This window comes from Homo sapiens, chromosome 4 (genome assembly GCF_000001405.40).
Source record: "Homo sapiens chromosome 4, GRCh38.p14 Primary Assembly".
In the NCBI taxonomy this organism is placed as follows: Eukaryota; Metazoa; Chordata; class Mammalia; order Primates; family Hominidae; genus Homo; species Homo sapiens.
Genome location: NC_000004.12, coordinates 184,667,063 through 184,679,157, shown reverse-complemented (window position 1 = coordinate 184,679,157; position 12,095 = coordinate 184,667,063). Strand labels below are relative to the sequence as shown.

The 12,095-nt window shown below is 44.4% G+C and overlaps 1 protein-coding gene across 26 annotated transcripts in view; it reads right to left on the bottom strand.

The window, feature by feature from the left end:
* PRIMPOL (primase and DNA directed polymerase) overlaps positions 1-12,095 on the bottom strand; it is a 45,215-nt gene that overhangs the window by 15,795 nt on the left and 17,325 nt on the right. For 23 of the 26 annotated variants that reach the window (XR_938701.4, NR_144312.2, NR_144313.2 and 20 more), the window contains 2 exons: positions 6,698-6,985; positions 764-926 (listed from right to left, as the gene is read on the bottom strand). Coding sequence is in view for 22 of the 26 variants with exons in the window: in XM_017007867.3 (XP_016863356.1) it covers positions 764-926; positions 6,698-6,985 (451 nt within the window). In the remaining 4 variants the exon portion in view is untranslated. The remainder of the gene's footprint in view (positions 1-763; positions 927-6,697; positions 6,986-12,095) is intronic. The other 3 variants (NR_144314.2, NM_001345899.2, XM_047449753.1) reach the window with 1 other exon arrangement.

Below are 12,095 nucleotides of genomic sequence, written 5' to 3'. Positions count from 1 at the left end.
ATTCATAAAATCAAGTAGAAAAAACAAATGACAATCATTTAAATAATAATCTCAGAATATTTTTTGATTAAAGGAGCTATACAAATTATATGTATGTGCATACATGAAAAGAAAATGAGACATTTTAATAGTAAAATATTTCCAAATGCAATACCAGTAGTATTGTTTTCTTCTTTACAGAAGTGATAATCATTTTAGAAAAATTGGAAAATACACTAAATATAATCCTAAAAAGATATATAGAGAAAATTAAGTGTTCAAATATACGTTTTACTATTATCTTTTAGCTAATGGAGAAAAGAGAAAAGTTAACTTAGAACTGTAAGAACTGGCTGGGCGCGGTGGCTCACACCTGTAATCCTAGCACTTTGGGAGGCTGAGGTCGGCAGATCACCTGAGGTCAGGAGTTCGAGACAAGCCTGGCTAACATGGTGAAACCCCATCTCTACTAAAAATACAAAAATTAGCCGGGTGTGGTGGCAGGCGCCTGTAGTCCCAGCTACTTGGGAGACTGAGGCAGGAGAATGGCATGAACCCGGGAGGCAGAGCTTGCACTGAGCCTAGATAGCGCCACTGCACTCCAGTCTGGGTGACAGAGGGAGACTCTGTATCAAAAAAAAAAAAAAAAAAAAGAGCTGTAAGAACTGACATTTTCTTAAGGTAGAATGAATTTAGATGATTTACATTTTAGTAATATACAATGCCATTCACTGTTTAATAAATATTCATGAATACAAAATGGTTTGATGCTGCTACTACATACCTGACATTGCTGACCAAAGAAGAGAGAAAATATTGATATTCGTCAGAAACATCTTTTGACTGTATAGGAAAAAATTTGTTATCTTCAGTAACCTCCAAAGCCACACGCTTTCCAATTTTTGATGATTTATATAGCCGAAAGTTTCTATTTCTTGTATAAACTCCTACATCAAAAATTGATAAAACAATATGAAAGCATGTTTTCTGTTATTAGTTTCATAGTCAGCAAATATTAAGTTTTTATATAGCATTAATAAAAAATAATTATTTTCTATATATAGCTGTAAACAAAATAAAATTAAAGCACTATATAAATTAAAACAAATTGCAGTCAGCATGGAGGAATGCCACATTCTGAAACAGCAAACTCAATTATTCTGCAGCAATTCTGCAACTGAAACAAATGGAAAAGCTGGATGCAGGTACTAGAAAGTTTGAGACAACCAGAGAGCTTCCAAGACAGTGAAGCTGTGCGGAGCTAAATTCCAGAGAAAAGGGAAGGACCAAAACCAACAAATATCTAGAATAAATCTAACAAATATGGATAAGATTTCTATTCAGTACATTATACAACATTATAGAGAAACATTAGAGAATACCTAAGTAAACAGATGGGCCTACCATGTGCATAGATTGGAAGACTCAATATTATAAAAATGTCAGTTCTCCCCTAGGTGATCTATAGATTCAAGGCAATCCAAATAAAAATTCTAGCAGGATTTGTTTGTGTAAACCGGCAAACTGACTCTAAAATTTAAATGGAAGTGCAAAAGGTCAATAACTACCAAGAAATTTCAAAGAACAAACTTAGAGGAATTGTTTTTCCTAGATATAAAGACTTATAACAAAACTATATTAGACAGTGTCGTGCCTATCTAATATATAAAACTATATTAGACAGGAATAGATCAATAGAACAATGAAGCAGAACAGGGTCTAGAAACAGATCAAAATACATATAGCCACTGATTTATGGCAAAGGTAGCACTGCTGAGCAGTAGGTTAAGGACAGTCATTTCAACAAACAGTGCTGAGCCAACCGGATATCCACATACGAAAAAGTGAATCTTGACTCCTCCTCACCCAATAAGCAAATCCTTTCCAAGTGGACTGTAGATCTAAACATAAAAGCCACGCCAGGTGCAGTGGCTTGTGCCTGTAATCCCAGCATTATGGGAGGCCACAACAGGAGGATCGCTTGAGGCCTGGGCAACATAGCAGATCCTGTCTCTACAAAAAATAAAGAAATAAGAAAATTGTGTTGCTCTATGATACTTAGAAAGAAAGAGAGAGAAAGAGACAGAGAGAGAGGTGGAAATAGAAAGGAAAGGGAAAGGGGAAGGGGAGGGGAGAAGGGAAGGGAAGGGGGAAGGGAGAAGGGAAGGGAAGGGGGAAGGGAGAAGGGAAGTGAAGGGGGAAAGAGGAAGGGAAGGGGGAAGGGGGAAGGGAGAAGGGGAAGGGGGAAGGGGGAAGGGGGAAGGGGGAAGGGGGAAGAGAGGGGAAGGGGGAGGAGAAGGGAAGGGGGAAGGGAAGGGAAGGGAAAAGAATGGGGTAGGAAAGGGGGAAGGGAAGGGAAAAGGGAAGGGAAGGGGGAAGGGAAGGGAAGGGGGAAGGGAAGGGAGAAAGAAAGGGAAGGGAAGGGGGAAGGAAAGGGAAGGGAAGGGGGAAGGAAAGGGAAGGGAAGGAGAAAGGGAAGGGGGGGGACGGGAAAGGAAAGAAAGGGGGAAGGAAGGGGAAGGGAAGGAGAAGGGAGGGGGAAGGGGAGGGGAAGGAAGGGGAGAAAGGAAGGGAAAAAGAAGGAAGGGGAAGGAAGGGAGAAGGAAGGGAGAGAAAAGGAAAGGGGAAGGGAAGGGAAAGGGAAGGGATGGGGAAGGGAGAAGGGAAGGATAAGAAAAGGAAGGGGAAGGGAAGGAGAAAGGAAGGGAAAGGAGAGAGAGGGAGGGAAGGGAAGGGAGAAGGGAAGGGGGAAGGGAGAAGGGAAGGGAGAAGGGAAGGGGGAAGGGAAGGGAAAGGAAGGGAAGGGAAGGGAAAGGAGAAGGGAAGGAAAAGGAGAAAGGAAGGGAAGGGAAGGAAAGGGAAGGGAGGGGAAGGCAGGGGAGGGGAGGGAAGAAAGATTGATTTGTATTAAAAGTGTGGTCGTATGCACTTGTAGTTCTAGCTACTGGGGAGGCTGAGGCAGGAGGATTGCTTGAGCCCAGGAGTTTAAGGCGGCAGGATTGCACCACTGCACTTCAGCCTGGGCAACAGAATGAGACCTTGTCTCTAAAAAATAATAAATTAAACATAAACATAAAAGGCAGAACAATAAGTTTTTAGAAGATAAGGAAGAAAAGCAAAAGAATGACTTTGGGATAGGCCACGTTTCTTTAACAAGATGCAAGAAACACTGACCACAGAGGAAAATACTGATAAAATCAGACTACTACTATTATTTAATGACTTATGTTCCTCAAACACACAACTAAGGGTACAAAGGCAACCACAAACACACACTACAGTTTACCCTTGAACAACAAGGGTTTGAGCTACATGGCACCACTTATATGTGAGTTTTTTTGTTTGTTTGTTTGTTTGTTTTTGATACTGAGTCTTACTCTGTTGCCCAGGCTGGAGTGCAGTGGTATGATCTCGGCTCACTGCAACCTCTGCCTCCCGGATTCAAGTGATTCTCATGTCTCAGCCTCCTGAGTAGCTGGGATTACAGGCATGCACCACCATGCCCGGCTAATTTTTGTCTTTTTAGTAGAGATGGGGTTTCATCACGTTGGTCAGGCTGGTCTTGAACTCCTGACCTCAAGCTATCCACCTGCCTTGGCCTCCTAAAGTGTTGGGATTACAGGCATGAGCCAAATTTTTTTCAATAAGGATATTGGAAAATTTTGGGGGGACTTACAACAATTTGAGAAAACTCACAGATGAACCGTATAGCCTAAAATATTGGAAAATGTTAGAAAATAATTAAAAATAATTAGAAAAAGTTAAGTGTGTCATGAATGCATAAAATATATGTAGATGGCTAGTCTAAGTTATCATTTACTGTCATAAAATGTACATAAGTCTATTATAAAAAGTTAAAATTTATCCAAACATACACACACCCTTGCTGACTGTACATGATGCCATTTGCAGTTGGGAAAAATCTAAACAAATGTTTTAAAGATGGAGTATTAAATCATAACTGCATAAGATTAACCATAGTACATACTACACTGCCATAATAAGTTCTTAGCCGCCTCCTCTTGCTATTGCGGTGAGCTCAGGTATCTGCTTACAACACAGTGTGATGCCAATCATCTCCATGTGAGCAGGTCATCGCACCAATCAATTGCGCTTCACAGTCAAAAGTGTTCCTTGCAGTTCTCACATATTTTTCATCGTGTTTAGTGCGATATTGTAAACCTCGAGTAACACCATGGGACCATATGAAGTGCCACTCGTGATGCTGGAGGTGCTCCCACACAGAGAAATGTCATGACCTTACAGGAAAAGGCTGAATTGCTTGACATGTACATAGACTGAGGTTTCAGCTGCTGTTGTCGCCGTTTCAGATGAATGATTCGTCGTGTAAACAGATGACCTAAACTTACAGTATCGACAAATACAGTACAGTACTGTAAATATGTTCCCTCTTCCTTATGATTTTCTTAACAACATTTTCTTTTCTTTAGCTTACTTCACTGTAAGAATCCAGTATATAATACGTATACAAAACATGGTTAATCAACTGTTTATGTTATCAATGAGGCTTCCGGTCAAGAGTAGGCTATCAGTAATTAAGTTTTTGGGAAGTCAAAAGTTATACACCGATTTTTATCTGCATAGAGAAGTTGGTTCCCCTAAGCCCTGCATTGTTGAAGAGTCAACTGTATATGATTCCAATTACACAGTAAAAATACAGGCAAAACTAACCCACAGTGTTAGAGGACAGAACAGTTGTTGCCCCTGGGACAGAGGGAGGGTCCGGACCGGAAGGAGGATGGAGGAAGTTGGGGGTAATGGTAATCTATTTCTTGTCTTGGGTGCTGTGGTGACAAGGGGTGTTCATTCTGTGATTAATTACATATTTTTCTGTATAAATGTCACATACTTCAACAAAAAAAGTTTCTTATTTCAGCATATATTATGAAATCTCTGAACTTTTCCAAGGATGGTTTAGGAAATGATTTCCCCATCCTCTCTGGATATGTAAATAAATCCAGGCACATGTATCAAGAGTACCAGGGAGGTTTCCTTGCTAGTCCGGTAGCCTGACTTTCAAGGTTAGGTGTGCTGTGACCTGGGGTACTGTGTTCTGCTGGGGTAGAAGTAGAGACGGGTACTGGCCACTGCCGCTCTCCCTGGATCAACTTCCTGTTACGCACTCTCCCTCACTGACTGCAGGCTAGTCCCACCCGGAGATGATATTCTGGTAATAAAGCAAAACCTGTCAGGCTTGGAAGAAGGTGCCTCTGCCCGTGTGGCTGCTCGACCTCACACTCCTCTGTCTTTCCAAGTTCTGGTGCTTGATTGCCAGAGGTGCTAGAAAAACATGCAATCCAGCAGAAACACGTCCCTCATTTCAGTACCACTGTTGGCCTGGGAATCTGACCTATAATTTAAACCTACTTTCCCTCAACCTTTACACACTGAAGCTCTCCAAGGTGTTCACAGCCAACAGCAAAAATGCTGCTGTCTGGCGGGCGCAGTGGCTCACACCTGTAATCCCAGCACTTTGGGAGGCTGAGGCGGGCGGATCACGAGGTCAGGAGTTTGAGACTAGCCTGGCCAACATGGTGAAACCCCGTCTGTACTAAAAATACAAAAATTAGCTGGGCGTGGTGGCGCATGCCTGTAATCCCAGCTACTCAGGAGGCTGAGGGAGGAGAATCGTTTGAACCCGGGAGGCGGAGGTTGCAGTGAGCCAAGATCGTGCCACCACACTCCAGCCTGGTGACAGAGCGAGACTCCATCTTAAAAAAAAAAAAAGAGGCTGGGCGCAGTGGCTCATGCCTGTAATCCCAGTACTTTGGGAGGCCGAGGCGGGCGGATGACAACGTCAGGAGATCGAGACCATCTTGGCTAACACGGTGAAACCCCGTCTCTACTAAAAATACAAAAAATTAGCCGGGAGCGGTGGCGGGCGCCTGTAGTCCCAGCTACTCCGGAGGCTGAGGCAGGAGAATGGCGTGAACCCGGGAGGCGGAGCTTGCAGTGAGCTGAGATTGTGCCACTGCAGTCCGGCCTGGGCTAAAGAGCGGGACTCCGTCTCAAAAAAAAAAAAGAAAAAGAAAAAACCTGCTGCTGTCATGGCTTTTGAAATCACAAGCTAGAGCCTCAGTATAAAAATGAGGTGCAGTTCACCAATGGGAGCTGTTGTGTTAGGGTCTCGATTGGCCTGTTGTTGAATCATGCTCAAGTCCTGTCAGCCCAGGGCTTCTGACATCCTCAGGCTCTGAGACCAGGGCCTAGCAAACCACACTGGGTTAAGAAATCACTGGTTTGAACACAGCAAGAAAGCTGATGAAATGGGCCCTGCCACTACCACTGAGATCTTCGGTGAGGAGAACACCCAGGCTCACCGCGCCACACGAGTACTGCTTTTATACCGAGTCTGTTTTTTAAATTTCTGTACTCTGACTTAACCTCTCAGCAGTCCTGGAGGAAGCTGGTCCAACTGTCCCCTGTAAAACTCCCTCAGCAGGAATCCTCTGGACATGCAGAGCAGAAGCCAGCCACAGCCATCCTCTGCTGGAGCTCAGGCCGGCCTGGACCCCTCTAAGATCTCTGGAGAAAAACCTCACAGATTCCCAGCACCTGAACTCACTGGTTGCATCGTGCTGGCGACTTGGGCAGTGGAGGAAGCAAGAATCCCGAGCACGGTGACGAGTGGGCACCAACCCGTCTCTCACGAAAGCACCAGGGCGGTCTGATGGAGAAAGCTGTCAATCTTACTTACCGAGATCTACAAAAAGATGCTTCTCTCCCATGTTATTCTTCACAACTAGAAATGAAAGGTCAGGACTGCTTTGCTCAGCTGACCCCAGCCTCTCCAGTTTCTTTGAATTCGATGTCCAGCTTTCCTCTGTAGCCTTTTCTGTGAACATTTTATTGAAAGAAAATCCTTGTCTTGCAGGTGCTTCTGAAAAATGGGGAAATCCATGGCCTGTTGTCTCTGGAGCGCTATCATCATCTTCACTGCCAAGCAAGTCAAGAGCAGGCTGCAAAATTTTTCTCAAAAAATTACCTAAGGAAAAAAGCTATTATCATTCACCTGGATCTTCTCCACACACCGCATCTTAAGGTCTAGCCAGGAATCCACATATGACAATTTTACACAGAAAACCATTTTTTGATTTCTGGTTTCAAAACTGGGTTGCTGCCGGGCACAGTGGCTCACGCCTGTAATCCCAGCACTTTGGGAGGCCGAGGCGGGCGGATCACAAGGTCGGGAGATCGAGACCATCCTGGTTAACACGGTGAAACCCCGTCTCTACTAAAAATACAAAAAATTAGCAGGGCGTGGTGGTGCGCCTGTAATCCCAGCTACTTGGGAGGCTGAGGTGGGCGAATGGCATGAACCCAGGAAGCGGAGCTTGCAGTGAGCCAAGATCGCGCCACTGCACTCCAGCCTGGGTGACAGAGTGAGACTCCATCTTACCAAAAAAAAAAAAAAAAAAACCGAGTCGCTATAAATTGTTATATGCCACTCCTGTGACTTCCTTTTGTGAAATCTTTTACCTTTTCAATTCCATTGACTTGGGAGCCTGGTGTGAGATGTAAACAAATTATCTTAGAAGGGAAAGTTCATTTGAGAAGATGCGTCAATGCTGCTGGTAGGGCCTGAGCCTAAGAGGCTGTCATCAAGAAAACACTACTTATTAATACATACTGGGAGGACTCATCTTCACATTCAATGATTACAGAATGAAGGGCTCTCGTGCCCTTAAGAGATCATAAAAATAATAATAATAATAATGAAGAATGAAGGTTTATATGAAGAAACTGCTGCTCAGCTAACAGACAGAAGCACTGAGGAAATCTCGGGGAGTTAGGGCACTGGCAAATTTCTCAAGAGCTCATTTGCTCTCCTTTACCTGCCACGACACGCCCTGCAAACCCTGGCTCTCACAGCCGTCAGCCCCTAGGCTGCTGCTCCTACCTCTGCCTCAAACTGGGCACACGATGGACTACGGCCTCGGAGCTAACATCCACAACAAAAGCAATTCGATACATTTACTGCACTTCAACATTTATTCTAAGAACTCAGAGTAACAGCAGTACTATCTGTACCATGAAAAGTTGGTAAGAAAATCCAGAACTTCTTCAAACTCAGACATATTATTTACACCATGAAATCAAATAATTTGGCTATTAAGTTGCTTCATGTGTAACAATACTCAAGAAATGCAATACTGTAAGAAAAATTTAATTTTAATCTGTAGAACTGTTATTGTTTAGATTCATTCTTCACTTTATTTACCAGAAAGCTTGGGCCCTTACATTAACAAATGCATACTCTAAATTCACATTTTTATTTCTTCACATTAGATTTAATTACTTGCCTACTCAGCCAGGTGTGGTGGCTCATGCCTGTAATCCCAAGCATTTTGGGAGGCTGAGGTGGGCAGATCACTTGAGGTAAGGAGTTTGAGACCAGCCTGGCCAACATGGTGAAACCGCGTCTCTACTAAAAATACAAAAATTAGCCAGGTGTGGTGCTGGGCACCTGTAATCCCAGCTACCTGGAGGCTGAGGCAAGAGAATTGCTTGAACCTGGGAGGTGGAGGTTGCAGTGAGCCAAGATCATGCCACTGCACTCCAGCCTAGGTGACAGAGTGAGACTCTTGTCTCACAAAAAAAAAAAAAAAAAATTACTTTCCTACTCAAAGAAACAAATCCAATTTCTTATAAAGCACTAAATGTCAAAATCAAAGCAAAAGCATTTGGTGCTTGCAATGATATGCTGGTACAGGATGGATTACTTCTGCAATGAAGGAGAGAAAGTAAACACCAAGTGAAAAGAAATCACAACATATCAAAGGACAACAAAGCCATATAAACCTAAACTGATAAAGCTAATTTTCCTGAAAACTTAACATTGCAGCTACTTGACCCCAGACAATAAGGGAAGAGAATGCATGGTTGCAGAAATGGTGGCAATGGCAGTGCTGGGGAGGCCACAGGTCTTGGAACCCTGGCATGGAGCGACCATGGCCAGGACCATGACTGATGACTGTCACTAGCATCAACGCTAACACACTGGTCCAGCAAACCACACTGCTTTCTACTTCCCTTCCAGGATCTTATTGCCCCCAACCCTCATGAGGACAGGAACTATCTAATTTGCTGGAAATAACTCAAAAGACTAGTCAGTCATAGAAATTTCAGGTATGACAGCAAACTGGCAGAAGAGTATTTTTAGGCAGATCAAGATCTATGATCTCTTACATTTAACTGAATTCTCTTTTCTGAAAGGCTGACAATAGCAACTAGAAATGTCATCAAAAGACACACTAAAGGAAGAAACAAGGAAAAATTCTGAATTACTTCATATTCTCTGCACCTCTGGCTCTGGCAGCTCCTAATTCTAGGGGAAAGGGGCTGAGCTGGCAGCCCAGGAGAAGGCCTGATCGCATCTCTCTAGCCACACTAGACCATTCACTGTCCCCAAATGAGCCACGCACTCTTATCTCTATAGTTTTGCTTATGTTGTTCTGACTGTAAAGGCTTTCTTACCTTTGACTATACAATGAAATCTTACTGAAAGCCCAGATGAATGCCATCTGCTTTCAGAAGATACCTGTAGCAGAAACTGCTGGTACCTCACAAATTTCTATTCTCTCCTTCTTCCTGAGCAAGAGATTCTCAGCTTTCGGCCTGTGGCTAGTAGCCATGGAGCAGACGATGACCAGTACACGGCAAGCAAAGAAACAGCCTGTTTGGCACTCTGCCTCCACACCCTGACGGCAGTCCCTCCTCACTATTCACGCTTCATTTGGAAGGGATTTATTCAGATACCACTGGGCATGAAGGCCACACACTGCAGAAAGGCAGCGAGCACGGGGGCTGGAGTCAGAGACAGCTCAGTGTCTGTTTTGGCTTTGCCATCTGCCAGCTCTGTGACTTTGGTCAAATCTAAACCTTAACATTCCCCAGCTGCTTAACAGGAGTAACAACAGCACCTACCTTTTGGAGTTGCTGTAAGGAGTAAACAAGAAAATGAAACTAAGGACTTAGCACAGTGCCTGGCACATGTAACTGCTTAAAAAGCCTTTGTTGTGCAGCCTTAGGACAAGTCCCTAAAGGTATTTATTAATGCCTTCTGAATGAATGCACGAATGGTAAGGAGGACCAGGTGAACAGACCACATCGTGTCAGACAGCAGCATCAGCAAGTGCAAAGGCCCAAGCGCTACAGAAAATGTGGCCCATGATAGGAGCTGAATGAAAAGGGCAGGGTGGCGGGAGATGAGGCTGCCGACTTGTATTTATAATCGCTTTTAATAATTAATAATATTAGTAATTAATAATATTATTAGTAATATTATTGATAATGATATTTTTATTATGGGCTAAGCTCTGGAAATACCAAAGTAAGAAACAGTCCCTGCCCTAGAGAAACATTAAGTAGAATAGAGGAGATGACAAAGAAAACAGGAAATGACCTCAGGAAGTGGTAAATGCTTTGACACCATAAGCCCTGGACGTTCTCTGCAACCCAGAGGAACACTAATCCAAGTAAGGCTTAGGGTTTGAGATATGACAGAAACAGCTTCTCACATAGCTTGACGTCTACAGAATCCTAACAGGCCAGGTGAATCTGGAGGCACAACGGTTTAGACAGCAGCATCAAAAGGTTCAAAGGCCCATGGACTAGAGGAAATGTGGCCCAGGACAGGAGCTGAATGCAAAGGGCAGGGTGGCAGAAGATGAGGCTGGAGCACAGCGGGCCTCGCTTTGCAAGCTACGGCATCCATGCTTTTGCCTGAAGGCAGCGAATAATCACTGGAGGGTTTGAGGCACACAGGTGGCAGAATCAGCGCACTCTAGCCAGCTGACTGGCTAAGTAGGGCGAGAGGCACAGAGAGGGCAAGGATGATACCAACGTGTCTACTTGGGTAACTGGTGACACCACTCACTGATACACACATCACGGAGAAGATGTGACTCTGGGGAAGGATGAGGAGCTCAGCACAGGACATGCCAAGTTGGAACCATCTGTGTGGGGAGTGTTTAGAGGCAGTTGGCTGGATGGGTCTGACGTCTAGAACAATCTGGGCTGAAGATAAAGATTTCAGAGTCATCAACATAGATGCATATCAAAGCCATGATGGTGGCTGATCATCAAGGGTGAGGATAGAGTGGGAAGAGGGTCAAAGATGGACTCTACCATTACTAATATCTGAAGGATTGTGAGAAAACATTTTAAATGGTTCATTTTCAAGCCATGATAAATCTAAGTACCGGCAGCCAGCCTGCAAATGTAACAAACCACACGGCTCATGCACCTAGAAAGTCTTAATAAGTGAACAGAATGTAGAGGAGGGGTCAGCCCATAAAAAGGAAGAAAGTTTGTTATTGGAAAATCAAAACTCAAGTGGGGAAGGGGATGGGGTATAACCTTATAAGGGGGATAATGAAACTTAGGTGATGTCTGGAAAGATTGTTAACCCCATAGTACTCAGCCAATGAGGAACTGGGGGAGGGACTTGCGTGCTAGGAGATAAATTACCTGCTGTAACTGCCCTGAATGTGCCTGTCTACCAGACACCCAATCTTGTAAGGCCGTTATTAAAAGTCTCACTTTCGGCCAGGCACGGTGGCTCACGCCTGTAATCCCAGCACTTTGGGAGGCCAAGGCGGGCAGATCACAAGGTCAGGGGATCAAGACCATCCTGGCTAACCTGGTGAAACTCCGCCTCTACTAAAAATACAAAAACTTAGCCGGGCATGGTGGCACACGCCTGTAGTCTCAGCTACTCGGGAGGCTGAGGCAGGAGAATCGCTTGAACCCGGGAGGCGGAGGTTGCAGTGAGCCAAGAACGTGCCACTGCACTCCAGCCTGGGCGACAGAGCGAGACTCTGTCTCAAAAAAAAAGTCTCACTTTCACTGTTCTCCATGCCTCTAAGTCCATTCTTTGGGTTTGGATGGGTGACTGTGTTTCTCACAGGATGAGGGAGAGAGACTGAGAAGGAACGTCCAGCTGAGCTACCAGGAAACAGGCAGGTGACGAGAGCCTTGTGAAAACAGCATGCTGGGTCTCTGTGGCCACCTTCCCCTAATCCAGAAATCAGGTTCCTGGCTTTCATGCCAGTGCTTTAGTGACCATGTCCACGCCTTTTACTCTAGGTGGC